This window comes from Homo sapiens, chromosome 19 (assembly GCF_000001405.40).
Source record: "Homo sapiens chromosome 19, GRCh38.p14 Primary Assembly".
NCBI lineage: Eukaryota > Metazoa > Chordata > Mammalia > Primates > Hominidae > Homo > Homo sapiens.
In genome coordinates, this window is record NC_000019.10 from 15,172,877 (window position 1) to 15,199,996 (window position 27,120).

Here is a 27,120-nt window from a genome sequence, read left to right on the forward strand (position 1 = left end):
GGCTGGTCTCAAACTCCTGACGTCAAATGAACTGCCTTCCAAAGTGCTGGGATTACAGGCGTGAGCCACCGAGCCCCTCCTATTTCTTTCTTCTTCTTCCTCTTCCTCCTCCTCCTCCCCCTCCCCCTCTTCCTTCTTCTTCCTCTTCCTCCCCCTCCCCCTCCCCCTCCCTCCTCCCTCTTCTTCTTCTTCTTCTTCTTCTTCTTCTTCTTCTTCTTCTTCTTCTTCTTTTTTTTTTTTTTTTTTTTTTTTAAGAGATCGGAGGCCGGGCATGGTGGCTCACGCCTGTAATCCCAGCACTTTGGGAGGCCGAGGCAGGTGGATCACGAAGTCAGGAGATCCAGACCATCCTGGCTAACACACTGAAACCCCGTCTCTTACTAAAAATACAAAAAATTAGCCAGGCATGGTGGCGGCCGCCTGTAGTCCCAGCTACTCGGGAGGCTGAGGCAGGAGAATGGCATGAACCCGGGAGGCGGAGCTTGCAGAAAGCCGAGATCGCGCCTCTGCACTCTAGCCTGGGCGACAGAGCGAGACTCCGTCTCAAAAAAAAAAAAAAAAAAAAAGAGAGAGAGAGATGGGAGTCTTGCTATGTTGCCCAGGCTAGATTTGAATTCCTGGGCTCAAGTGATCCTCCAAGTAGCTGGGACTACAAGAATATATTGTGCCCGGCTTTATCTTCTATGTCTTTAAGAAGAAGAAAATTAGCCCGGTGTGGTGGTGGATGCCTGTAATCCCAGCTACTCTGGAGGCTGAGGCAGAGAATTGCTTGAACCCAGGAGGCAGAGGTTGCAGTGAGCTGAGATCACGCCACTGCACTCCAGCCTGGGCGACAGAGACTCCGTCTCAAAAAAAAAAAAAAAAAGAAAAGAAGAAGGAGAAGGAGAAGGAGAAGGAGAAGGAGAAGGAGAAGAAGAAGAAGAAGAAGAAAAAAACCCTACACATGTATTTAACCACTCTGCCAAGCCACTTAGCAACCTGCCTCCCCACAAGCCAGCACTAGACCTGGGCAATTCTACCCCAGAAGCACTAGCTCCATCTGGAGGCATTTTTTGCTTGTCACAGCCAGGAGGCGGTGCTCCTGACATCTGGTGGGTAAAGGCATTAAGTGAAATGAAACACACAAGACCTGGATCAACAGCATCTCTCCTCTCCCCAGCCACCACGGCTTTTCCAGGTGGGGTCACTCACCCGATCACCTCGGGGGCCAGCTCCCGACGGGCCCGGGGTTCGGAGCCAGGACTAGGCCGGTGGTAAGGGAAGACCATGGCCTGGCCGTGCGCGTCCAGGCGGAAGCGCAGCGAGGTGCGCAGGATGGCGCTGAGCCGCTGCAGAAAGTCGGCGCTGGAACGCAGTAGCTCCTCTGGCGGCAGCAGCACTGTGAGCACCAGCACGCCGCGGGCCAGCAGGGCCGGCACCTCGCTGGCACAATCCAGCCCATCCCAGCCGCACTCCTCCGTGTTGCAGCCCTGGTCGCAGCGGCCGTCGGCAAAGTGGTCGGCGCAGTACTTCTCGTACACCGGGCTGGTGGGGAAGGGTGAGGCAGAGAGGGGCGGAGTCAGGGGTCAGAGGAGACAATCCCCTTCCATGCATTCACACCGTAGAGTACAGAGACTCCAGACAAGGCTTGCACAGGGGACTGGAATATACGGACCCATGCCAGGCTTTCTGCAAATCTTGCCATTCACTGGATAATTTTTTTTTTTTTTTTTTGAGACGGAGTCTTGCTCTGTCGCCCAGGCCGGAATGCAGTAGCATGATCTCTCAGCTCACTGCAGCCTCCACCTCCCCGGTTCCAGCGATTCTCCCGCCTCAGCCTCCCAAGTAGCTGGGATTACAGGCATGCACCACCACGCCCGTCTAATTTTTGTATTTTTAGCAGAGACGGGGTTTTACTATGTTGGCCAGGCTGCTGTTGAACTCCTGACCTCAGGTGATCCACCTGCCTCGGCCTCCCAAAGTGCTGGGATCACAGGCATAAGTCACCGCACGCAGCCCTTGATAATATTTTTTTAAATTGATTGATTGAAATGGGGTCTTGCTCTGTTGCCCACGCCGGAGTGCAGTGGTGCAATCATAGCTCTCTGCAATCTCAAACTCCTGGACTCAAATTATCCTCCCTCTTCAGCCTCCCAAGTAGCTAGGACTACAAACCCACACCACACTCCCGGCCTCACTGGCTAACTATTAATTAATCAGTAAATACTAACTGACTACCATGTGTTGGGCACTGCTGCAGGCACAAGGATAAGGCCCGGCCACAATTCCTGGTCCACGTGCAGCTGGCATTCCACTGGGTGAAGACAGATAGTAAGGGAGATACATGAGCCAAATATACAGCATCTCCATTACTCATCAATAAAATAAAAATACAGGCTGGGTGCGGTGGCTCATGCCTCTAATTCCAGCACTTTGGGAGGCCAAGGTGTACGGATAACCTGAGGTCAGGAGTTCTAGGCCAGCCTGGCCAAAATGGTGAAACCCCCGTCTCTACTAAAAATACAAAAATTAGTCAGGCATGGTGGCGGGCGCCTGTAATCCCAGCTACTCGGGAAGCTGAGGCAGGAGAATAGCTTGAACCCAGGAGGTGGAGGTTGCAGTGAGCCAAGATCACACCACTGCACTCCAGCCTGGGCAATGGGAGAGAAATCCTGTCTAAAAAAAAAAAAAAAAAAAATACATATATATATATATATATGTATATATATGTATATACACACACACACACACACACACACGCACGCACACACATAGTGCTGGATGGAATTAAATGCTAAGCAGAAAAATAAAGCAGAGGAAGGGCTGGGGGTGACCAGGGAGGTGCTCACTGAGAAGGTACCACCATTTCAGCAAAGACTTGAAGGAGGTGAGGGAGGAGCCATGTGGGGGAAGGGAACAGCCAGGCAGTAGGAACAGCTTGTGCAAAGGCCCTGATATGGGATCAAGCCTGGGGTATCTGGGAAACAGCAGAGAGGCCAGGGTGGCTGGAACAGAGTGAGTGAGGGGAAAGCAGAGAAGATGAGGATGTGGAGATTAAGGGGGTGGAGGGTTCCAAGCAGACAGAGAGGTACGCAGAGGACAGAAGGGGCAGGGTGTAGGGATGGACAGATGGACTGCCTAGGACAGACAGAGAGAGGGGCAGAAGAGGGGCAGAGATAGTCAGGGGCACCCACAGATAGCCATATAGAGGAGCAAAAAGAGTGCATGGATGGACAGATTCGGCCCAAGGATGGACAAACAGGAGTGGAGGAAGACAGTTGGGTACACAGAGGAACAAAAGCAATTTTTTTTTTTTTTTTTTTTTTTGGTGAGACAGAGATTTACTCTTGCTGCCCAGGCTGGAGTGCAATGGCACGATCTCAGCTCACCTCATCCTCCACCTCCCAGGTTCAAGCAATTCTCCTGCCTCAGCCTCCTGAGTAGCTGGGATTACAGCCATGTGCCACCACACCCGGCTAATTTTGTATTTTTAGTAGAGACGGAGTTTCACCATGTTGCCCAAGCTCAAACTCCTGACCTCAGGTGATCTGCCCTCCTCTGCCTCCCAAAGTACTGGGATTACAGGCGTGAGCACTGTGCCCGGCCAATAAAAGGAATTTTTAGGCTAGATGTGGTGGCTCAGGCCCACAATCCCAGCACTTTGAGAGGCTAAGCTGGGTGGATTGCTTTGAGCTCAGGTGTTCAAGACTAGCCTGGACAACATGGCGAAACCCCATCTCTAAGAAAAAGCACAAAAGTTACCCGGGCGCGGTGGCTCACACCTGTGGTCCCAGCTCCTAGGGAGGCTGAGGTGTGAGGGTTACTTGAGCCCAGGAGGTAGAGATTGCACTGAGCCAAGATCACACCACTGCACTCCAGCCTGGGCCACAGAGCAAGACCCTGTCTTAAAAAAAAAAAAAAAAAAAAAAAAAAGGAGCCAGGTGCGGTGGCTCACACCTGTAATCCCAGCACTTTGGGAGGCCAAGGCGGGCGGATCACAAGGTCAGGAGTTCGTGAGCAGCCTGGCCAATATGGTGAAACCCTGTCTCTACTAAAAATACAAAAAAAAAGCCAGGCGTGGTGGCAGGTACCTGTAGTCCCAGCTACTCGGAAGGCTGAGGCAGGAGAATCGCTTGAACCCGGGAGGCGGAGGTTGCAGTGAGCCAAGATGGAGCCATTGCACTCCAGTCTGGGCAAGAGAGCGAGACTCCGTCTTAAAAAAAAAAAAAAAAAAAAAAAGGAATTCGGCTGGGCACGGTGGCTCACACCTGTAATCCCAGCTACTCCAGAGGCTGAGGCAGGAGTACTGCTTAAACCCGGGAGGCAGAGGTTGCAGTGAGCCGAGATCGCGCCACTGCACTCTAGCCTGGGCCACAGAGCAAGACTCCATCTCGGGAAAAAAAAAAAAAAGTAATTATTGGATGGAGAAAAGGGCAGACAAACGGGGCAGAGAAGTGCATAGGCAGATAGAAACAAGAACAAGATAGACAGAGCACATGGATGAACAGACACACGGACAGACACGTGGGACACACCGATGGGCAGATAGAGTGCACAGAGAAACAGACGGGGCAAGTGGATGGGCAGGTGGAAAGAGAGGCAGGGCCCACGGACAAACAGACTGGGATGGATGCATAGACAGACGGATCGATCGGGTGGATGGGCTCACTTGCAAGTGCGCTCGCGGCCACCGGCGTGGCAGTCGAAGTTGTCGTAGAGGCAGGCGGGCGAGCTGCAGGCGGGGTCGCAGCGGCTGTTGTTGAAGAGGCGCCAGCACTGCAGCGCCTCGCATTGCCGCCAGGGGTCGCCCACGCTCAGCGAGCAGTCGCCGCCGTCCCAGCCGCAGCCTGGGCTGTTGCACTCGCGGTCGCAGCGCTGGTCCCCGCGCTTGGCCTGGCAGGCGGCGCGCGGGCACCGCGGCTCCTCCGAGACCTCGGGTGCCGCGGCGGGCGCCTCGCAGCGCGGCCCGGTCCAGCCCTGCGCGCAAGCGCAGCGGAAGAAGGGCGCGAGCGGCGCGGGGCGGCAGGAGCCCCCGTGGAGACAGGGGGCGGCCGCGCAGCTGGCGTTGCTGGCCCCCGGCGGCGACCCCGGGAAGCTGCGGCAGGAGGGTCCCGACAACCCTGGGGGGCAGGCGCAGCGCGGCCCGCGGGGCGTCTGCTGGCATGGGACGCCCACCGGGCACTGCAGCTCCCGGCAGGAGCGCGCCACCCGCTCGCAACGCGGACCCCAGAACGGCTGGGGGTCGGGTTTGGGGAGGGAGGGATAAAAATGAGGGTGGGGAGTGGAGGGAAGGAGGAGAAGAAATGGAGGAGTGGGGAAAAGAAGAGTCAAGGGGAGAGAGGGGGAAGAGAAGAGGTCAAGACTAAGGAAGGTTGAGACCCCCTCAACCTCCCCATGTCCCACCCAACCGCTCCCCTTTCCACACTGGAGACCCCACCTGGCAGATAAGCCCTGCCATCCCAGGAGGCCACGCCCCCCAATCACCATCCTCACCCTTTTCCCTTCAAACCTCCAGGAAATGTCGGGGCAGGGGGTTGTTTCTTTGTTTTTTGAGACGGAGTGTCACTCAGTCGCCAGGCTGGAGTGCAATGGCGTGATGGCTCACTGCAACCTCCGCCTCCCGGGTTCAAGTGATTCTCCTGCCTCAGCCTCCCGAGTAGCTGGGATTACAGGCAGCTGCCACTACGCCCGGCTAATTTTTATATTTTTAGTAGAGACGGGGTTTCACCATGTTGCCCAGGCTGGTCTCTAACTCCTGGCCTCAAGTGATCCTCCCGCCTCGGCCTCCCAATGTGCTGGGATTACAGGTGTGAGCTACCACACCCGGCGGAAATGTCAGCATTTTCCAGAAACTCCCTTCCCTTCGATGTCTCCCCTAAAGCCACATCCTCCTCCTAGACGCCACGCCCCTACTACTCCAGAGGCCACGCCCCTACTCCTCCTCCAAAGGCCGCCACCCACACCTACCTGGGCACAGTGACAGGTGAAGGTCAGCCCACCCCCAGGACCCGGGCTAGGACGGCACTGGCCTCCATGCTGGCATGGCTGGGACTCGCAGGGAGACAGGACAGTCTGACAGCGAGGACCTGAGCGAGCGGGAGCATGTAGATCAGCCACAATGGGGGAATGACAGGCGGGGTCCCAGGCCAGCCCCTTCGCCAACGCTTACCTGAGAAGCCAGCATGACAAAGGCAACGGAAACCTCCGCCTGGGTCCTGCAGGCAGTCCCGGGTGTGTGCCGCGTGGCAGGCACCTGAGCGACACTCATTGATGTCTGCCTCGCAGCGCAAACCAGTGTATCCTGGGGGACAGGTGCAGCGGAAACCACCCACCAGGTCCACGCAGGTGCCATTGTGTAGGCACCGGGGCCCTGAGTCCAGCGGTGGGCCTGGGCCGCAGTCATCCTCATTAATCTCGCAGAGCACCCCTGGGGGAAGAAACGAGGGGTGGTCAAGAGGGAATGAAGACAGCCTCTCATCCTGTCCCCCCAACCCTGGCCCTGGCATACCCAGCGTTCCTGGGGGACAGGAGCAGAGATAGCGGGCCACGAGGTCAATGCATGAACCCCCGTGCTGGCAGGGCTGGGAGGCACACTCGTCCACGTCGTCCTCACAGTTATCACCATTGTAGCCAGGAAGACACTTCAGTGGGGTAAGAGAGGGACCCACTCAGCTTAGTGGGACACAGACCCACCTGGACATACCCATGAAGACGCAAAGAACCCCAGCACAAAAGGACACACACAGATGTTCAGCGCACTACCAGTAGGTAATCCCAGCACTTTGGGAGGCCGAGGTGGGCAGATCACCTGAGATCAGGAGTTCGAGACCAGCCTGGCCAACATGGTGAAACCCTGTCACTATGAAAAATACAAAAATTAGCTGGGCGTGGTGGTGGGTGCCTGTACTCCCAGCTATAATGAGAGGCTGAAGCAGAAGAATCACCTGAACCCAGGAGGCAAAGGTTGCAGTGAGCTGAGATCGCGCCACTGCACTCGTCTGGGTGACAGAGTGAGAACCTGTCTCAAAAAAACAAACAAATAAAAAAACACCCCAGATCTACCCAGAGTGACACCCACAGATACACCAAGAGTCACAAAAGCAAAAACTCAGACATATCTAGAGACATACCCATACCAAGCCACACAGAAATGTGTGCCCAGACGCACCCAAGCATGCCCACCTCCTCTTCCCTCTCCTGGGGAGCGCCCCCTTACCTCACACATGTAGCCCCCCATATAGCCACGGCAGGTCCCCCCATGCTGGCAGGGCTGGGCCAAGCAGGGGTCCACCTCCTGCTCACAGTGGCTACCAGTACGGCCCTCTGGGCACACGCAGTAGTGGGAGCTGTCTTCATCCACACACTGCCCACCCGCCTGACACAGCTGCTCCAGCCGCACCCCTGCAAAGAGGAGAGTGGCACAGGAACAGAGGTAACCCCATACATCCCCCTTCTGCCTCCATCACACAGATCATTCAACATCCTTGGTGGAATGAGTCCCCAGGATCGCACCCACACTCCATCAGGTTGTCACACATCCCCCCAGCAGGCAAGGTCTCATCACTGACATACACACACATGCCTTCAACGCTCACAGCAGCTCGGTCACACCCTGTAGCACACACACCATCCCTGCTGTCTCACAGTGACAGACACACACCATCCCGGCCAGTTGTCACATGCTCACACACCCACACCACTCAGCCACACACCCCATCATGCCCCATAGGCTCTGTGGCACCCCCATTCGGCTCACACTAGCAGGAGGTACGTGCATGAGCCCCTTCCCAAGGCCCCACACGCCCGCCCACATGCTCCCACTCACCGATCTGGGCTGCGGCCTCCCTGCAGGGCAAGCTTCGGATGTCACAGAGGCGTCCGCTCCATCCAGGGGGACAAAGGCAATAGGCCCCAGTCTGGACGCAGCGACCCCCGTTTTGACAAGGCTGGCGGCTGCACCAATCCACCAGCGTCTGGAGGGGAAGCACTCAGAGTCAGTACTGTGGGGTGGGGGGTAGTCTGGGAGAAACTGTGCCCCGACTTGGCTTCTCCCTCCTAGGATCCCAGGCAGGCTCCTCCCCCAGGTCCCCAGTAACTCCACCCACCTGGCACTGCGGGCCCGTGAAGCTCTCGAGGCAGGTGCAGCGGAAGCCAGGGTGGGCGGCGCTGCAGACGCCCCCGTGTAGGCAGGGCCGCGAGAGGCAGGGGTCTGCCTCATGTTGGCAGTGGGCTCCTGTGTAGCCGGGACGGCACAGGCAGCTGAACGAGTTCACGCCGTCCACACAGGTCCCGCCATTGAAGCAGGAGCTGGAGCGGAAGGAGTGGGAGGGAGGATCAGGCTCCGCCCCCTCACAGGCCCTGCCCTCCTTCCTGAGTCCCGCTGTTAGCGCTGGGGACGTCCCACTCCCTGACCCTTATCTCGGCAAGAAGCTGCAGCCCCAGCAGAAGCCAATCAGGTCCCTTAGCTCCAATTCACCAGGGACTTCAGCCCTAAGGTGAGAGCCACCTGGAAGCCATGCCCTCTCAGGCACCAGAGACTCCAAGGTGAGCTCCAAACAGACGCCCTGCTCCTTCCCTGGCCCTGCCCCATCAGTCATCAGAGTCCGCAGTGGGTACCAAGCTGAGGACTCCCCCAAGTCGTTGCTGTCCCCACTTCGTCCCAGGTCCCAGGCCCCATCCCAAGCCAGAGTCCCTGCTCTCCAAGCAGAGGCCCCGCCCACCTGGGGCTGCAGTCGGGCAGGTCCTGTTCGCAGTGGAAGCCTCCGTAGCCTGGCGGGCAGGTGCAGGTGAAGGAGGCCACGTGGTCGGTACAGGTGCCCGGGCCGCAGGGGTTGCTCAGGCACTCATCCACATCGCGGGCGCATCGTGGGCCGGCGAAACCAGGGAGGCAGGAGCAGGAAAAGGAGCCCACGCCGTCTTGGCACGAGCCACCGTTCAGGCATGGGTCTGCGGACAGGAGGAAGGCGGTCTGGTCACCTACCTTGCCCCCATTAGCCCAGTCTGACTGGGATATGCCTTGGATTGAGAAGAATTCAGGAGGAAACCAGGTTCAACTGGGATGGGGTGCATTTGGTCAGAGGAATCTAAATCCATCCCCTTCTGTGGCCTCGTCCCCTCCTTTATCTGGAAACCTCACCTATGTGGCAAGGGCAGGATGTTGGGAAAACCAAAAGGTCCCTTTAAGCTGCCAAGCAAACGCTGCTAATTGTGCCTGATCTAATTCCTGTGCTTGGAACAGGACAAGGACAGTGGCCATTAGCCACATGTGGCTACTGAGTCCTTGAAATTGTGACTAAATGGAGATGTGCTATAAATGTAAAATACATACTGGGTTTCAGATTTTGAAGACTTGGTATGAAAAAAAAAATAGGCTGGGCGTGGTGGCACACACTTGTAATCCCAGCACTTTGGGAGGCCGAGGTGGGCAGATCACTTGAGCTCAGGAGTTCGAGACCAACCTGGGCAACATGGCAAGACCCCATTTCTATAAAAAATACAAAAATTAGCTGGGCATGATGGTGCACACCTGTAGTCCCAGCTAGTGGGGAGGCTGAGACGGGAGGATCACTTGAGCCTGGGAGGTCAAGGCTGCAGTGAGTCATGATCGCACCACTGCACTCCAGTCTGGGCGACAGAGTGAGAACTTGTCTCAAAAAAAAAAAAGGAAACAATGTAAAATATCTCATTAACAATTTTATACTGGTTACATGTTGAAATGATATGTTAATATATTGGGTTAAATAGATTATATACATTTATTTATTTATTTATTTATTTACTTTTATTTTTATTTTTATTTTTTTTGAGATGGGGTTTCGCTCTTGTTGCCCAGGCTGGAGTGCAATGGCACGATCTCAGCTCACCACAACCTCCGCCTCCCGGGTTCAAGTGATTCTCCTACCTCAGCCTCCTGAGTAGCTGAGATTACAGGCATGTGCCACCACGCCCAGCTAATTTTGTGTTTTTAGTAGAGACGGGGCTTCTCCATGTTGGTCAGGCTGGTCTCAAACTTCTGACCTCAGGTGATCCACCTGCCTCAGCCTCCCAAAGTGCTGGGATTACCGGTGTGAGCCACTGCGCCCAGCCGATTATATACATTCAATAAATTAAATTTAAATATATTAAATTTGGTCAGGCACAGTGGCAGCAGTCTGAGAGTCCAAGGCAGGAGGATGGCTTGAGGCCAGGAGTTTGAGACCAGCCTAGACAACGCAGTGAGACCCCATCTCTACAGAATTAAAATAAAAATATTAGCTAGGCATGTAGTGAGTGCCTGTAATCCTAGCTACTCAGGAGGTTAAGACAGGAGGAATGCCTCAGCCCAGGAGTTCGAGACTGCACTGAGCCAAGATCGCACCACTGCACTCCAGCCTGGGCGACAGAGCCTCACTCTGAATACATAATAAATAAATAAATATAAAATATTAAATTTAATATCTCCCATTTCTGTTTATTTTTTAATGTGGCTACTAGAAAATTTAAAATTGCATATGTGGCTTGTGTTATTTATCTGTTTGGCAGCACCCCTTTTTGTTTGTTTGTTTGTTTGTTTGTTCGTTTTTGAGACGGAGTTATGCCTTGTTGCCCAGGCTGCAGTACAATGACACAATCTCAGCTCACCGTAATCTCCACCTCCAAGGTTCAAGTGATTCTCCTGCCTCAGCCTCCCAAGTAGCTGGGATTACAGGCATGCGCCACCATGCCCTGCTAATTTTGTATTTTTAGTAGAGATGGGGTTTCTCCATGTTGGCCAGGCTGGTCTCAAACTCCTGACCTCAGGTGATCCGCCCACCTTGGCCTCCCAAAGTGCTGAGATTACAGGTGTGAGCCACCTCGCCCGGCCTCTGGGGGGCCTTTTATCTCATACTTTGCACATGATATTAACTCGATTGCTCTCAAAGACAGTGCACTTAGGTCGGGTGTGGTTGCTCACGCCTGTAATCCCAGCACTTTGGGAGGTGGAGACAGGTAGATTGCTTGAGCCCAGGAATTGGAGACCACCGTGGGCAACATGGCGAAACTCCGTCTCTACAAAAAACACAAAATATTAGCTGGGCGCTGTGGTGTGCGCCTATAGTCGCAGCCACTGGGGAGGCTGAGGTGCTTGAGCCCAGAAGGCAGAGGTTGCAGTGAGCGATGATTGCAACACTGCACTCCAGCGACAGAGCTAAGACTCTGTCTCAAAAAAAAAAAAAAAAAAAAAAAAAAAAGAGGCAGCACACAGACTCCAAGGTTCTAAGCCCAGCTCATTCCCTAACTCGTTCCATGGGCTTGCACAAGAAGTCACTCAACCTCCTCGGGCCTCAGTTTCCATATAAATAAAACGGGAAAAGTAAGATAACTGTGAAGATGAAATGACAGCACAGTGCCAGGCACACAGTTCAAGCTTAATGACTGTGTTCCCCAGAGCAGCACCCCCAAGAGCTCCCCTGCACTCACTGGGGTCACAGTCATTGATGTCCTGATCGCAGGAAGGGCCAGTGTACCCTCCATGGCAGGTGCAGCTGAAACTCCCTGCCAGGTTGGTGCAGATACCATGAGGGCCACAGGGTGCGGGGCCAGCACACTCGTCCACATCCTGCTGGCATCGTGGGCCTGGGGGTAGGGAGCAAGGTTACACCTAGGGTTACAGGGTACAGAGCAGGGTCTCAGGGACCTGGGGCTCAGGAAGAACCTGCAGGCCGAGATGGGTGAAGGCAAAATAAGCCGTGCTGTCATTCGTGTCTGGGCATTTTGCATATGCAGTTTCAGAATGGCCGTCTCCCTGTCTCAGTAGGTGGCAAATACCTACTATGAGGTCTGCTCCTCCAGGAAGCTGTACCCTAAACCCCGCCCTAAGTCCCAGCATCTCTAGCCCCATAACTCTTCCTCTTCCAAGGGCTGACCCACACAGGCTGCATATCAGTGTCCAGCTCTGTCCTTCCAAGAAGGAAGCCCCTCTCAAAGGCAGGGCTGGGGATGGGTCCCTCTCTGGATCCCCAGCATCATCCCTGATAGGGTAGGGGGCAGAGGAGATGGAGAGGAGGAGGGAAGAGAAGCAGGTGGCATACCTTGCCAGCCCTGGGGGCAGGAGCAGACAGGCAGCTGGCCAGGGGCAGACTCGCAGCGGCCCCCATGCTCACAGGGGTTCGGGGTGCAGGGGGAGAGGAGTTCACACTGACGTCCTGTTGGGGGTGGAAGAGAGGGAAGCAGAGATAGCCTTGAGGGACTCCCTGATCCCATCTCCCCCCACCTCCCCCAACCCCAGGGTCCCCACCTTGATACCCACCTCCCAAGCTCCTGGAGGGAAATGATTGAAAGCAAAAAAGAAGCTAACATAGCGGGAGGAGAGAGTAGAGGAGAAGAGAGATGAGAAGGCCCATGGTGTTGGTGGGGCTGCAGAGGGAAGGTGAGGTACACACCCTGGACACCAGGCGGGCAGGTGCAGTGGAAACCCATTCCATCGCTGCTGCATGTCCCACCGGCCCTGCACGGCTGGGACTCACAGGCGTCTCGGGCCAGGCTCTGGCTGCAGCGGGGGCCACTCCAGCCAGGCTCACACACACAGCGGAACCTGGCAGGGGAAGGTAGTCAGGCCAGGGAGGTGGGCCAGGGAGAGGGGGCAGTGTCTGAGGCTGAGAAGGGCCCTCACCCGCCAGGTGCATCATAGCAGATGCCGTGACTGCAGGGCTCATGGGCACAGGGATGGCTCGGGGGGAGGCAGAGTGGGGGCAAGGAGCCAGGCGGGCAGAGGCAGCGGAAGCCATTTTCCCCATCCACACAGGAACCTCCCTCGCCGCATGGGCTGGAAGCACACTCATTGATCTCCACGTTACAAAGGGGCCCTGGGGAGTACACAAGCAATCTCATCTCAGAACAAAGTCAGCAGGGACAACCAGGGAGGGACGACGTGACCCCACTTAGCACACCCACACCCCCGAGCAATGACCTCTTTTTCATAACGCATCAGCTCTTGTGCAGATTAGGACACCCGCCTCCTCAACCAAGAGCTGACTTGCCCCAGATCATTCTGGTCCCCAAACTTCCATGAAGTCCCTTTCTTTTTCTTTTCTTCTTCTTCTTATTTTTTGAGATGGGGTCTCACTCTGTCGCCCGGGCTGGACTGCAGTGGCATGATCATAGCTCACCACAGCCTCCACTTCCTGGGCTCAAGCGATTCTCCCACCTCAGCCTCCCGAGTGGCTGGGACTACAGTTGCGCACCACCACGTCTGGCTAATTGTGTGTGCATGTGTGTGCGTGTTTATCTACGTATTGACTAATCTGGCTTTGGGAGTGTGTTTATTTTTTGTAGAGACAGGGTTTCATTATGTTGCCCAGGCTAGTCTCGAACTCCTGGGCTCAAGTGATCCTCATGTCTCAGCCTCCCAAAGTGCTGGGGGATTACAGACATGAGCCAACACACCTAGCAAAGTCACATTCATTTCCACTAAGGATTAGTTTAGACCCATTCAGAAATAACCTAGTCACTGAGTTTGGACACTTTCATCTATGTTCCAGAATAATCTTTTTGTTTGTTTTTGTATGTGTGTGTGTGTGTGTGTGTGTGTGTGTGTGTGTGTGTGTTTGAAATGAAGTCTCACTCTGTCGCCCAGACTGGAGTACAGTGGCACAATCTTGGCTCACTGCCGCCTCCGCCTCCTGAGGTCAAGCAATTCTCCTGCCTCAGCCTCCCGAGTAGCTAGGACTACAGGCGCCCACCACCACACCCGACTAATTTTTGTATTTTTAGTAGAGATGGGGCTTCGCAACGTTGGCCACGCTGGTCTCGAACTCCTGACCTCAAGTGATCCACTTGCCTTGGCCTCCCAGAGCGCTGGGATTACAGGCGTGAGCCACCGCGCCCAGCCTGCAGAATAATCTCGAAACAACCTTATGCCAATGAGACAGCACAGACTCAGGGCAAAGCACGGACAACCTCGTTGGACAAGAGTCTGCAAAGATACGGGCAAAACAGGCCCACAGAGACGAGTGACTTCACCCTCGATCTAAGGACCCCCTCTCATGGCAGCCACTTGCCCACCTGTGAAGCCAGGTTGGCAGACACAGTCGTAGCGGTTGATGCCATCACGGCAGACTCCAAAGGTGCAGGGGTTGCTGGCACAGTCGTCAATGTTCACTTCGCAGTTCACACCTAGGGGCCAGGAACATGGCATGGAGTGGCCACCACTGTGCCCCACTAGATGCACCATTCCCAAACCCTCTGTGCCCCTCCAGGTGTGCTGTTTCTGCCCCAGCCCCCGGTCCCACCTGTGGTCCCAGAAGGGCAGCGGCAGAGGTACTTGTCCACCAGGTCTAGGCATTTGCCGCCATGGCGGCAGGGCTGGCTGCGGCATTCGTCCACCTGGCTCTCGCAGCGTGTGCCCGTGTAGCCAGGAGCACAGGCACATGAGAAGCTGGCGATGCCATCCACGCAGCGACCATGGTGGCATGGGTCAGGGGAGCAGTCGTCCACGTTGCGATCACACAGCGTGCCCTCAAAGCCTGTGGGGCCAAGAGGGTCAGGCTCCGCCCACTTGCCAGGGGCCTGCCCACAAGTGAGGCCTCGGACCAATCCTGGTTCAGCTCTATCTGAGGCCCTGCCCATCAAGCTGTCAGGAGGCGAGCTCAATACAGGCCCCACCCCCCACCCCCCACTTACTTCCACTCCACCCCACTACAAGCTCCAGAATTTGTCCCTAGCCAAGACTCTCCCACAGTTAAATCCCGCCCCCAGCTGTGGCCCCACCTCCAGCCCTGTTTCTGCCCCACCCTCCACTGGAGATGGGAGCACATGGCAGGTGCCAGGGGAAGGTATTGGGCCCTCCCCATTCAGTTACAGGCACCCTGTGCCCAGCCCAACACTTTGGCTCCACACGTAGCCTTATGTCAGTCTATATGCATTATTGGCTCCACCCCCCAACTCTGTCACTGGGTCCTGCCTTGCTACAACCCCGCCCCCAAGCTCTCCCCAAGTCTGTTATTGGCCCTGTCGCCCACAAGCCCCGCCTCCTGATTCTTGTCGGACTGTCATTGGCCCGCCTCACCCTCGGCACAGCGGCACTCGTAGCCATCGGGCTGGTCCACGCATTTGGCGCCATTCCTGCAGGGCGTGCTGGCGCATTCGTCCACGTCCAGCTGACACGTGGAGCCGCTGAAGCCTGGGGTGGGGAGTGGGATGAGCAGAGGCCCAGAAAGGGTGAGAGCAGTACACCCCTCTCCAGCCCCGCCTTGTTTGGGTGGAAAAACCCATTTACTTGGATTTAAATTAACTTCAATGTTTCATAACATATGGTTTCTATTGTAAGTTATCCGCTAACGTGGTTTTACAGGTTCCCACCCTGGAGTTTTTGCCCCTTCCCAGACATGTCTTTTCGGGCTCCCTCTCCTGAGGTCCTCACCCGAGGGGCAGGTGCAGCTGAAGCCATTGACTCGGTCCTTGCAGACCCCACCGTTGACACAGGGGCTACTCTGACACTCGTCAATGTCCACCTCGCAATAGGTTCCTGTGAAGCCTGGGGCAGGGAATAGGGCTTAGGAAAGCGGGGGCTACCCTATGGTGTGAACGGGGTGCAAGGAAGGAGGTACTTCCCTTCCTACTCATCGACAAATCCCCCGAGCCTTCGTCCCCACCTCTACACTCCCAGCCCAACCTTAATTTTCAGCCACAGGCTGGACTGTCACCCAGCCGTGGTCCCAACTGGCCCAAGGCTCATGGGTGTCCGCAGAGGCCTTGCCTTCAAACCCCTCCTCCTCTCCCCAGTCCTCAGACTAAGCCCTTTCCCCAGTCCCCAGCCCCCAGCCCCAGGGCCCCCCATAGCCTTTGCCCAGGCTTACTGCAAGCTTGTCTGCAGGCTTCACCTTGACCTCACAGCAGCCCCGACTCTGCCTCTCTATCCCCAACCCCTTCCCGAGTGGGTCCTAAGGCCAAGAATACTCCCAGCCCACCTGAGGTTCTACTGACTCCATTTGACCAAGCCCCCAGAATCACACAGTATTCCCTTCTGGTCCTGACCCCACCTCCTTCCAGGCTTCAGTCTCTAAGGGTCCCACTCCAAACCCACTTACACCCCATTCTGCTCAGCTCCCCATCCGCGGGCTTCTCTGTCCCCGCCCCCTGCCTCAGGACCCGCCCAGGCCACGCCCACCACCCACCTGCCATACAGATACAGGTGAACTGGCCTATGCGGTCGAGGCACGTGGCCTGGTTTCGGCAGGGCCCCGACAGACACTCGTTGACATCGGTCTCACAGCGAGGTCCAGTGTAGCCACGACCGCACTGGCACAGGAAGGAGCCCTGCGTGTTCACGCACCTGCCCAAGTGCTCGCAGGGGTTGGCGCCTGCCGGATGGAGTGCGATCGGTGTGGGCGTGGCTGGCCGGGACCCCCTCCTCTCCCCTCTTTCCCAGCCCATTCACAGACGATGGAGCTCCCCTCACCGATAGAGCACTCGTCCACATCCTGGTCACATGCCCCACCCGTGAAGCCGGGAGGACAGGTGCAAATGGCCCGGCCGTTCACCGGATTTGTGTCACAGATAGCATCCTCGTGGCAGGGGTTGCTGACACAGGCGTCATCCAGGTGACACAGGAGGCCTGGGAAGTGGTAAGCAGAAGTCATAGGCAGATCTTCCTGCTCTGCCCAAAAGGCCCACACCCCTTGAGTATTGTTTTGTCGTTGTTGTTGTTTTGTTTTGTTTTTTGAGACGAAGTTTCGCTCTTGTTGCCCAAGCTGGAGTACAATAGCGCGATCTTGGCTCACTGTAACCTCCACCTCCCAGGTTCAAGCGATTCTCCTGCTCAGCCTCCCGAGTAGCTGGGATTACAGGCATGTGCCACCACGCCCGGCTAATTTTTTGTATTTTTAGTAGAAACGGGGTTTCACCAAGTTAGCCAGGTTGGTCTCAAACTCCTGACCTCAGGTGATCTGCCTGCCTCAGCCTCCCAAAGTGCTGGGATTACAGGCGTGAGCCACCGCGCCCGGCCTGTTGTTTTTATTAAACCTAAACAGTATTTAGTAGCTGCTTTTTTAATCCATTTATTATGAGAACTATCAAACATACAGAAAAGTTGACCATTCATATACCCACCACCTAGATTCAACTATTGTTAGCTTAATCTACCAATCTTCTTTTCTAAACCATTTAAAAATAAATTGCAGACCGGGCACAGTGGCTCACGTCTATAATCCTAGCACTTTGGGAGGCCAAGGTGAGTGCATCGCTTGAGTTCAAGAGTTCAAGACCAGCCTGGGCAATATAGTGAGACCCGTCTCTACAAAAAATACAAAGCTTAGCCGGGCATGGTGGCGCACGCCTGTAATCCCAGCTACTTGGGGGACTGAGGTGGGAGGATCACTTGAGCCCAGGAAGTCGAGGCTGCAGTGAGCTGAGATCATGCCACTGTACTCCAGCCTGGGTGACAAAGTGAGACTCTGTCTCAAAAATAAAATAAAATAAATTGCAAACATCCACATATTGTTTTAAAACCTTTTGACTCTTCTGATTACAAAAGGGTCCTACACTCCAGCCTTTGCTTCTGTAATACCCTCTGCCATGTATGCCCTCTTTCTATATCCACGTTCCCCTCCTAAACATGTTCTCTGATCTTTGCCACTTCCAAAGGTAACTCCCAGGAGTTCCCCATTCCAATGGCTTCTGCCCTGAGCCATGCATCAGTGCAATGTCAGCCTCCTCCCAAGCCTCTCCCAGGCTTACACTTCCCCACTAAAGCTGCCTCCAGCATCATCTTTTTTTCTCTCTCTTTTTTGTTATACACGGTCTTACACTGTCTCCCAGGCTGGAACGCAGTGGCTCAGTCTCAGCTCACTGCAACCTCCACCTTCTGGGCTCAAGCCATCCTTCAACCTTAGCATCCAGAGTAGCTGGGACTACAGGCATGCGCTACCATGCCCAGCTAATTTTTTGTATTTTTGGTAGAGATAGGGTTTTGCCATGTTGCCCAGGCTGGTCTCAAACTGCTGAGCTCAAGCAATCTACCCGCCTGGGCCTCCCAATGTGTTGGGGTTACAGGCGTGAGCCACCACACCCAGCCTACCAAGTTTTTGTAGAGATGACAAAAACTCACTATGTTGTCCAGGCTGGTCTCAAAGTCCTGGGCCCAAGCGATCCTCCCATCTTGGCCTCCCAAAGTGCTGGGATTACAGGCATGAGCCACTGTGCCCGGCCTAGCATAATCTTTTTTTTATTTTTTAAATTTGAGAAGGAGTCTCACTCTGTCACCCAGGCTAGAGTGCAGTGGTGCAATCTTGGCTCACTGCAATCTCCACCTCCTGGGTTCAAGCTACTCTCGTGCCTTAGCCTCCTGAGAGACTTGGATTACAGGTGTGCACCACCACGCGCAGCTAATTTTTGTGTTTTTAGTAGAGATGGGGTTTCACCATATTGACCAGGCTGGTCTCAAACTCCTGACCCCAGTGATCCGCCCGCCTGGGCCTCCCAAAGTGCTATGATTACAGGCATGAGCCACTGTGCCCAGCCTAGCATAATCTTTCTAACACTCAAGTCAGACTTCTTATTTGCCCTCACTAAAAACCATCCATGGCTCCCTGCAGAGAAAACGGCCACTCACCAGTCTTGCCCATGGGGCAGGCACAGTAGAAAGAAGCCACGCGGTCATGGCAGGTGGCCCCATGGAAGCACACGGCTGTGGCACAGTCATCGATATTCTGACTGCAGCTCTCGCCTGTCCAGCCATTGACACACACGCAGCTGTGGCCACCCAGCGTGTTGAAGCAGGTACCCCCATTGTGGCAGGCGTTGGGCTGCAGCTGACACTCATCCACGTCCTCCGTGCAGAACTGGCCTGTGGCACACAGATGCAGCAGTCCAGCCACCTGGCGCATGTCCACCCGAGGCCTGCCTCCCCGCTCCCTCTGGCCGCAGTGCCCACCTGTCCACTCAGGAGGGCACTGGCAGTTATAGGTGTTGACGCCATCCACGCATGTCCCCCCATTGAGACATCGGTGTCCTGGACAGTCGTCCACGTTCACTTCACAATTCTGACCCTCAAACCCTAGCAGGGAAGGGGGCAAGGATGGTCACCGCCGGGCTGGCCTGCTGTCCCCACGCCCACCCCTCTGACTCTCCTGAGTAGGGCTCACTCACCAGGAAGACAGGCACAGTCGTAAGTGAGGTCGCCACTCTGCCTGCAGGTGCCCCCGTTACGGCATGGTGAGGGTGCACAGGGCACCGCGGGGTTCTCACATAGTGGCCCTGTGTAGCCAGCTGGACACTGGCAGCGGAAGGAGCCAGGTGTGTTGAGGCAGGTGCCACCATGGCGGCAGGGCTCACCCACCCGGCACTCATCCACGTCGCTTCGGCAGCTGCGGCCCTGGTAGCCAGGTGGGCAGGAGCAGAGGAAGCGTCCATCGGGCCCCACTGAGCAGCGGGCACCGTGGGCACAAGGGCTGCTGAGGCAGGGATCTGGCAGGGAGCAGTCAGGGCCTGGAGGGACCAGGACAGGGTGAGTTTAGGACTGACCACACCCCCGACTACCTCCCCTCCAGACTCTTCCCCTCTCACCTCGGAAGCCACGGGGGCACCGGCATGAGAATCGGGCGGTGCCAGCCACCACTGAACTCTGGCAGACACCACGGCCAGCACAGGGGCCTGAGTGACAGGGGTCCTCCAGCTGACACCGCTCACCCACCCAGCCAGGCGGGCACCTGTGGGCAGAGATGGCTTGGTTGGGCAGCACAGGGCAGGATGGCCCCAGACACAAAGATACACACAAGACAGGCAAGAAACACGCAGGGAAACAGAGCAGCAAACACACATTTGCTGGGAGCAGTGGCTCACGCCTGTAATCCCAGAACTTTGGGAGGCTGCGGCGGGCAGATCACTTGGGGTCAGGAGTTCAAGACCAGCCTAGCCAACATGGTGTAACCCCGTCTCTACTAAAAGTACGAAACTTTGCTGGGCATAGTGGTGCGTGCCTGTAGTCCCAGCTACTCAAGAGGCTGAGGCAGGAGAATTGCTTGAACTCGGGAGGTGGAGGTTGCAGTGAGCCAAGATCGCGCCACTGCACTGCAGCCTGGGTGACAGAGTAAGACTCGGTCTCAAAGAAACAAAACAAAACAAAACACACATTCATTCATGCAACGAATATTTACTGAGTACCTACTACGTTCTGAGCAATACAAATACAGCAACAAACACAATGAAAGGGGTCCCTATCCCTCTGGATCCTTGCAGCCAGGTCCAGGCAAGGAGAACATATACGAATAACAAATTAATATACAACATGCTGGCAGGGGGCGGTGAAAGCCATCAGAACCATGAAGGATGTAGTCAGTTGGGTCACAGCCCCTGAAAAGATGACATCCATGTCCCAGAACCTGTGACTAGGACCTTACTTTTTTTTTAAATGGCTCTTTGCAGATGTAATTTTTTTTTTTTAAGAGACGGAGTCTTGCTCTGTCACCCAGGCTGCAGTGCAGTGGCGCGATCTTGGCTCACTGCAACCTCCACCTCCCGGGGTTCAAGCAATTCTTTGTCTCAGCCTCCTGCGTAGCTGGGAGTACAGGCACACGCCACCAGGCCTGGCTATGCAGATGTAATTAAATGAGAGATGTCAAGATGAGATTATTCTGAATTATCCACCTGGGCCCTAAATTCAGTGACAAGTGTTCATACAAGAGAACGGCTCACAACTGTAATCCCAACACTTTGGGAGGTCAAGACAGGATAATCACTTCAAGCCAGAAGTTCAAGATCAGCTTGAGCAACATAGGGAGACTTTTTTTCCACAAAAAAAAATTAAAAATTATAACCGGGCATGGTGGCAGGAGCCTGTAATCCCAGCTACTCTGGAGGCTGAGGCAGGAGAATCGCTTGAACCCAGGAGGCGGAGGTTGCAGTGAGCCGAAATTGCACCACTGCACTCCAGCCTGGTTGACAGAGGGAGACTCCATCTCAAAAAAAAACAAAAAACAAAAAAAACAAACAGGCCAGGCGCAGTGGCTCATGCCTGTAATCCCAGCACTCTGGGAGACTGAGGTGGGCGGATCACGAGGTCAGGAGTTCAAGACCAGCCTGGCCAATATGGTGAAACCTCGTCGCTACTAAAAATACAAAAATTAGCTGGGCGTGGTGGTGCACTCGTGTAGTCCCCGCTACTCAGGAGGCTGAGACAGAAGAATTGCTTGAACCTGGGAGGCGGAGGTTGCAGTAAGCCGAGATCGTGCCACTGCACTCCAGCCTGGGTGACAGAGAGAGACTCCACCTAAAAAATAAAAATAAAAGATTAGCTGGCCGTGGTGGCTCACACCTGTAGTCCCAGCTTCTTGGGAGGCTGAGGTGGGAGGATCGCTTCAGCCTGGGAGTTGAAGGCTGCAGTGAACTAAGATTGCACCACTGCACTCCAGCCTGGGTGACAGAGCAAGACTCTGTCTCAAAAAAAGAGAGAGGCAGCCAAAAGGAGATTTGGGTGGGAGAAGGAAGAGAAGAAGACAGAGACAGGGACTGGAGTGAGACAGCCACTAGCTGAGAAACGTCTGGAGCCACCAGAAGCTGCAAGAGTCAGTTCTCCCCTGGGTCCCCATGGAGAGGCTCAGCCCTGCCGATATCTTGATTTCAGACTTCCAACCTCCAGAACTTCAAGAGAATAAATTACTATTGTTCAAGCTACCCAGTTTATGGTAATTTGTTAGAGCAGCCGTAGGAAGCTAAACCACAGGGTTAAGGGGGATAGAATGATGGGGTCAAGGAGGTGGAATTCTATTTTCACAGACATATGAAGGTAAGGAGGGGGCCATGGGGCTTTCTGGGGAACGGCATTCCAGGCAGAGGGAACAGCAAATGAAAAGTCTCAGACCCATGTCCAAGCGCGGTGGCTCACGCCTGTAATCCCAACACTTTGGGAGACCGAGGCAGGTAGATCACCTGACATCAAGAGTTCGAGACCAGCCTGACCAACATGAAGAAACTCCGTCTCTACTAAAAACACAAAAAATCAGCCAAGTGTGGTGGCACATGCCTGTAATCCCAGCTACTCCGGAGGCTGAGGCAGGAAAATCGCTTGAACCCAGGAGATAGAGGCTGCAGTGAGCCAAGATCGAGCCACTGCACTCCAGCCTGGGCAACAAGAGCGATACTCGATCTCAAAAAAAAAAAAAAAAAGGAAAAGGAAAAAAAGAAGTCTCAGACCCCAGGACACAACCACGCAGGCACACACAGACAGGCCCAGAAACCACAGCTACACACACAGAGGGACACACCAATTGGACGCCATGGCCTGGCCAGCACTCAAGACACCAACCCACAGCATCCCACGCGGAAATGAGCAACTCTCACTCACAGGGACAGACAGCAGGGCTCCCACAAACCCTCAAGTCCCTTCTCTGGGACTTATATAGCCTCTTATGCAGGGATGGGAGGGTGGAGGGTTGGGGTACTGACACCACTGTTGGTACCCTCATCTTGGGGGGGTGGTCCTTCAACCTGCAGCCCCCTCCCCAAGCCCACCAAGGAGTGTGAGGAATTGGAACTGGGAGGGGTTGGTCTTAAGACTGGAAATCTCCAAGGGGCACTAGCGGGGTCAGAGGGAGGGGCTTAGAGAAGCCAGAGAGTCCAAGCTCCGCCCCCCGACGCTGCCAACCCTCACCCCCCTCTATCCCCCCACCCTCCGCCCCTGGCGCGGTTGTCCTCCCTCCGGCTTGTCCCAGACGCCTGAGACTGAACTCAACAAGCGGCTGACTCAGTCCTTAGCGTCACCCGCAAGATCCCCCCCACCCCGGCCCCCAGCGAAACAGGTCGGGGCACGGCCGAGCAAGCAAGGGTGCGGGTGGCGTTGGGAGGGGAGGGCACAGCTCCCGTCCCCTCCTCCAAGGCCCGCAGGGCGACCACTGCGGCCCCGACCGCGCGTCGGGAGGGGGCGCGCTGCGCTGGGCGCCGAGGATAGCTGGTCCCACCGCCAGGCAGGGCGCGACCCGCGCGGGCCCCCTCCCGACGCCCCGGGCGGGTTCCCACGCTCTGCGTCCCGCGCCCCCGCCGACCGGTCGGGCCGGTTCCAGCCCCAGCCCGCGCCCCGCCCCACGGCCTAAGCTTTGGGGGAGACGGAGGGGGGAGCGCAGACCTAGTTAGGGGGGGCACGGCGGGTGAGGCGAGGACTAGGAGATGGGGACGAGGTCTATGGAAACGTCTGCTGCCGGTGGGGGGGTCTTGGGGGATCCATGGGTGGGGTGACAGCTTGGGGGCATCCTTGAAAGGACTTGAGTATTTGAGACCGTGAAAGAGACTCGTGGGGGGTGGAGGGCGTGTAGGGAGTGGTTCCCACAGCCCAACTCGGAGGACTGAGCCCGCTCCACTCCGGGCGATCCGGGCTCCGGGCGCCGCGCGCGCCGGTGATTCACCTGTCGAAGGGCGGGGCAGCCGCGGGCTCATTCACCTGTCGGCAGTATTCCAGGCGCGGAGCTCCACTGCGCAGGCGCCCGGCCCCACCGCTCGCCCTCCCAGGTGTGTGGCTCCAGGTAAGGTCACACTTTTCCCCATCCCGCCCCACCTTCGCAGACCCCCCAGCCCCAGGAAACCCTCTCAGTCAGGCTCAGCCCTCCACAAAGGTGAGCCCGAGTGGGAGATCCAGCCAAAATAAATGTAGGTGTAACTTCAAAGCGGCTCTTCTTGGTCTAAAATCACCCCAGACCCACCCAGCTTGGGCCTGACCCAGTACTTGGCACACATGATGCTGAATAAATGAATACATTAATGAGTCAATCAATGGCTACTGCGTGAACTGCTGTTATTAATGATAGCATGAAAGGAGCCAAGCATTTCCTCATAACCTTGAGAGACTTCTCCTTAGAGCACCTGTTTCCTGCCTCCCTACCATTATTATTTATAATAATGCCTATGTTGAGCACATACTATATTCTGAGCACTTAATGTATGTTGAGTGCATACAGGAGTTATTATTGCCCCATTTTCCAGATGCAAAAACTGAGGCTCAAAAAGCTTGAATGCTCAAGGTGTCCCAGACCCCAGAATTTAAGCTGAGCTCTTTCTGTCTCTGCTCAGCTCCTTCCCAGCCTCTGCTCTGCTCCCTGCAACCTCTTGCCTTTCCTTGTGATATCTAACAACTAAATTGTTAAGTCCCTTCACAGTCGCCAGTGAAGCATTCCCTATTTCACAGGTGCAATGATGATCAGAGAGGGAAAGTGACTAGCCCAAAGTCACACTGCAAGTAAGTGGCAGTGTGGGACTGTATTATAGGCCTCCTATGTCCCCCTCCACTAAATGTTGAGAGATGGGAGGGGTGTGGAGGGTGTGAGCCACTGCGATTGGTCCCTGATAGTTTGTTGATTGAATAATACCTACCTCATGGGGGGCTTTACATGTGACCTCAGGTGGCCAAGAACTGTGAAGCTGGGATTACTGGGCCCATTTTGCAGACCATGACACTGAGATGTAAAGAGTTTAATTCCTAGCCGGTCAGCAACATGATGTGGGACTTGAACCCATGCCAAGAAGAGTGCAGAGCCCCTGCTCAGTTTCCAATGGGGAAACACGAGAGGTTGCCCAAGCCACACACATGTAGGAAGTGGTAGAGACATCCATGGTGAACACAGAGGCAGAGGGAGAAGACAAATCGCCCCTCCCCCCCGCCCCCACACACAGGGCCCACTGGTGGCTCTGAGCCAGGCACTCACAGGCAGGCAGCCTCCCGGGAGGGCAGCTGGGTGCAACGACCTCCATTTGCACACGGGCTTCCGTCCAGGCAAGGGGGGGCTGTGTGGGGGTGAAGGAAGGTGGAGGATCAGCCAGGTGCCCAGGAACCCCAGGCCCAAGTGACAAACCCCCTCCCTCCCTCCACCAGGCAACAGCTGCATGGGGATGGGGGCGTCTCTGCGGGTGCAGGGAGTCCCCCCATCCACAGTTCCCACGCCCCCCCCCCCCCCGCCCCAGCCCCAGCTGTTGAGGCTGCAGCTGTCCCTGCCAGCTCGAGCCCTGGGAACCACAAAGCAGGGGAAGGCAGGAGGAGGGGCTGTCTTATGCCAGATGTGGGGGCTCGGGAAGCTGCCAGAGCTAAGATGTGCAGAATGGGGTGTGCTGAGACAGGAAGTAAGGGTGCTGAGTGTTACAGGGAGGTCTGGGGCTTCATGCCCAGGTTCAGGGGTAATAGAAGGGGAAGGGGCAGGGGATCCTAGGGCCACGGGTCTTCCTTTCCCTGATGGGCATCTACTCCAGCCAGGCAGGCCTGCGTGGTGCTCTTGGGAGAGGGACCAAGGCATGTACCCACGAGTGAGCACAGCATCTCCAGAAGCAGCCAGCGCTGGGCGTTGCTGGAATAGGGTGTGTGTTGAAGGGAGGGGCAACTGGCACAAGGCATGTGCTGCCCTGTCCAACATCGCCATCCCTAAGGGCTGTGTCCCTCTAGGGTGTGGCATAGTCTAACTGTCCTGCCAGAAGGGTCCAGGGTGTGGCTGGGTCTGAGCTAGTGGAGAACTGTGTGCATGCGATCAGGTGTGGGGACACAGTGCGTGTGTCCATGCATGCTCTTGTCAGAGAGAGGGTGATGGAGAGAGGAAGGAAGATCGAGAAAAACACAAAGACGTGAGAATGAACTAGAAGCAGATAGACCAGGAGAAGACAGAGAAGGACAGAAAGAAATAGAAAGCGGCCAGGCATGGTGGCTCACGCCTCTAATCCCAACACTTTGGGAGGCCGAGGCTGGTGGATCACCTGAGGTCAGGAGTTCGAGACCAGCCTGGCCAACACAGTGAAACCCAGTCTGTTCTAAAAATATAAAACTTAGCTGGGCATGGTAGCAGGTGCCTGTAATCCTAGCTACTCAGGAGGCTGAGGCAGGAGAATCGCTTGAACCCAGGAGCCAGAGGTTCCAGTGAGCCGAGATCACGCCATTGCACTCCACCCTGGGCAACAAGAGCCAAACTCCATCTCCAAAAAAAAATTAGCTGGGTGTGGTGGCGCACGCCTGTAGTCCCAGCTACTCGGGAGGCTGAGGCAGGAGAATCGCTTGAACCTGGGAAGCGGAGGTTGCAGTGACCCGAGATTGCGCCACTGCATGCCAGCCTGGCAACAGAGTGAGACTGTCTCAAAAAAAAAAAAGAGAGAGAGAAGGACAGAAAGAAATAGAAAACAAGAGGGTGAGTTACAGAATCTGTCGAGCTGAACCTGAGCATGGGCCTACATAGTATATGCCCCTTCCTCACAGGACAAGCCGACTGGACACCATCACCCACACCAGGACCTGTGGGTGTTCGTGAACTCACACTGTGGGTCCCATAACATGGGCTATGGGCCACCCTGAGCTGTAGGCAATGTGAGCCACATGTGTGTGCGTGCACGGGCTTGTGTGTCTGTATGTGGATTTGGGCATGCATCTATTGTGTCTCAGTTGCAGCTACATGTGAGTCTATCTGTACATGCATGTCAGCGTGGGTGTGCCCGTGTGTGTATGAGCTGCACACCCATACGGGAATGCACAGATGTGTGTGCTGTCTGTATGCAGGTTGTGTCTGTTGTGCGTCTGTGTATGTGAACCGTGTAAATGGGTGTACAGCTGTGTGTTGGTGTGACCTGTGTGTGCACCGCTGTGTCTGTGTATGGGTTGGCTGTGTCTGTCCATCTGCATGTGTGAGCTGGGTGTAAGCATGTCCTTGAGTCTTCATCTATGTGCTGTCTGAGTGTGTGCAGGCAGCGTGTGTGCCACACCTGTGTGATCATATTTGTGTGTGTATGTATGTCAATGTGTGAGCTGTGTGCGTGCAGCTGGGTGTGTCTTTCCTGAGCCAGGTGTGCAAGTCTGCGAGTGTGCTGTGTGTGTGCAGGTTTGCATCTCTGTTACGTGACCTAGAGCTATGTGTGCCAGCGAGTGTGTCACAGGCCATGTGTGTGCGCCGCTGGTCCGGCGGAGGCGGCGGCTCCTGCCTGGTCCTGCCCCGTCCGGGCCCCGGGGCTGGGCTGGGGAGGCCGTTCACTCCCGAAACCCCCACCCCGCCCAGCGCCAAGCCCCACACTGGCGTCTGGGACCCCTGGCCAGGGGCCTTGGCCCGCGCCCCTCCCCCGCCCACCAGGCCTCCCGTAGCGGTGAGGGGGGTGCCCCCGCAGCCCCCTCCCCGGCCCAGCCGCGGGTCCCGCTTTGTCTGGCAAAGAAAGCGCGAGGCCGGCCGGAGGGAGGGGGTG

At 55.8% G+C, this 27,120-nt stretch overlaps 1 protein-coding gene and 1 non-coding gene across 3 annotated transcripts in view, besides 6 other annotated features; both read right to left on the reverse strand.

The window, feature by feature from the left end:
- NOTCH3 (notch receptor 3) overlaps window positions 1–27,120 on the reverse strand; it is a 41,958-nt gene that overhangs the window by 13,839 nt on the left and 999 nt on the right. Inside the window, exons 2-25 of one of the 2 annotated variants that reach the window (NM_000435.3) lie at window positions 24,624–24,702; window positions 19,501–19,643; window positions 19,084–19,422; window positions 18,869–18,991; window positions 18,548–18,781; window positions 16,397–16,552; window positions 16,113–16,298; window positions 15,359–15,472; window positions 15,005–15,118; window positions 14,229–14,462; window positions 14,002–14,112; window positions 12,611–12,803; window positions 12,381–12,532; window positions 12,030–12,143; window positions 11,419–11,574; window positions 8,700–8,925; window positions 8,085–8,286; window positions 7,805–7,952; window positions 7,196–7,380; window positions 6,488–6,620; window positions 6,149–6,406; window positions 5,947–6,065; window positions 4,649–5,214; window positions 1,192–1,524 (exon numbers count right to left, since the gene is read on the reverse strand). In NM_000435.3, coding sequence (NP_000426.2) covers window positions 1,192–1,524; window positions 4,649–5,214; window positions 5,947–6,065; window positions 6,149–6,406; window positions 6,488–6,620; window positions 7,196–7,380; window positions 7,805–7,952; window positions 8,085–8,286; window positions 8,700–8,925; window positions 11,419–11,574; window positions 12,030–12,143; window positions 12,381–12,532; window positions 12,611–12,803; window positions 14,002–14,112; window positions 14,229–14,462; window positions 15,005–15,118; window positions 15,359–15,472; window positions 16,113–16,298; window positions 16,397–16,552; window positions 18,548–18,781; window positions 18,869–18,991; window positions 19,084–19,422; window positions 19,501–19,643; window positions 24,624–24,702 — 4,618 coding nt within the window. The remainder of the gene's footprint in view (window positions 1–1,191; window positions 1,525–4,648; window positions 5,215–5,946; window positions 6,066–6,148; window positions 6,407–6,487; window positions 6,621–7,195; window positions 7,381–7,804; window positions 7,953–8,084; window positions 8,287–8,699; window positions 8,926–11,418; window positions 11,575–12,029; window positions 12,144–12,380; window positions 12,533–12,610; window positions 12,804–14,001; window positions 14,113–14,228; window positions 14,463–15,004; window positions 15,119–15,358; window positions 15,473–16,112; window positions 16,299–16,396; window positions 16,553–18,547; window positions 18,782–18,868; window positions 18,992–19,083; window positions 19,423–19,500; window positions 19,644–24,623; window positions 24,703–27,120) is intronic. The other variant, XM_005259924.5, reaches the window with a different exon arrangement.
- Window positions 4,769–4,938: a silencer, noted in NCBI's record as "silent region_10267". NCBI's record gives its function as "represses an Ori minimal core promoter by ATAC-STARR-seq in GM12878 lymphoblastoid cells {active_cell/tissue: GM12878}" and the evidence as "EXISTENCE:reporter gene assay evidence [ECO:0000049][PMID:35858748]".
- MIR6795 (microRNA 6795) lies at window positions 6,407–6,474 on the reverse strand. Its single transcript, NR_106853.1, has one exon. It is a non-coding gene; the product is annotated as a microRNA 6795 (primary transcript).
- Window positions 8,309–8,828: an enhancer, noted in NCBI's record as "H3K27ac-H3K4me1 hESC enhancer chr19:15291996-15292515 (GRCh37/hg19 assembly coordinates)". NCBI's record gives its function as "activates a minimal SCP1, AML or CMV promoter by ChIP-STARR-seq in naive H9 embryonic stem cells {active_cell/tissue: H9 hESC(naive)}" and the evidence as "EXISTENCE:reporter gene assay evidence [ECO:0000049][PMID:30033119]".
- Window positions 8,829–9,347: an enhancer, noted in NCBI's record as "H3K27ac-H3K4me1 hESC enhancer chr19:15292516-15293034 (GRCh37/hg19 assembly coordinates)". NCBI's record gives its function as "activates a minimal SCP1, AML or CMV promoter by ChIP-STARR-seq in naive H9 embryonic stem cells {active_cell/tissue: H9 hESC(naive)}" and the evidence as "EXISTENCE:reporter gene assay evidence [ECO:0000049][PMID:30033119]".
- Window positions 12,596–13,096: an enhancer, noted in NCBI's record as "H3K4me1 hESC enhancer chr19:15296283-15296783 (GRCh37/hg19 assembly coordinates)". NCBI's record gives its function as "activates a minimal SCP1, AML or CMV promoter by ChIP-STARR-seq in primed H9 embryonic stem cells {active_cell/tissue: H9 hESC(primed)}" and the evidence as "EXISTENCE:reporter gene assay evidence [ECO:0000049][PMID:30033119]".
- Window positions 21,689–22,189: an enhancer, noted in NCBI's record as "H3K4me1 hESC enhancer chr19:15305376-15305876 (GRCh37/hg19 assembly coordinates)". NCBI's record gives its function as "activates a minimal SCP1, AML or CMV promoter by ChIP-STARR-seq in naive H9 embryonic stem cells {active_cell/tissue: H9 hESC(naive)}" and the evidence as "EXISTENCE:reporter gene assay evidence [ECO:0000049][PMID:30033119]".
- Window positions 22,190–22,690: an enhancer, noted in NCBI's record as "H3K4me1 hESC enhancer chr19:15305877-15306377 (GRCh37/hg19 assembly coordinates)". NCBI's record gives its function as "activates a minimal SCP1, AML or CMV promoter by ChIP-STARR-seq in naive H9 embryonic stem cells {active_cell/tissue: H9 hESC(naive)}" and the evidence as "EXISTENCE:reporter gene assay evidence [ECO:0000049][PMID:30033119]".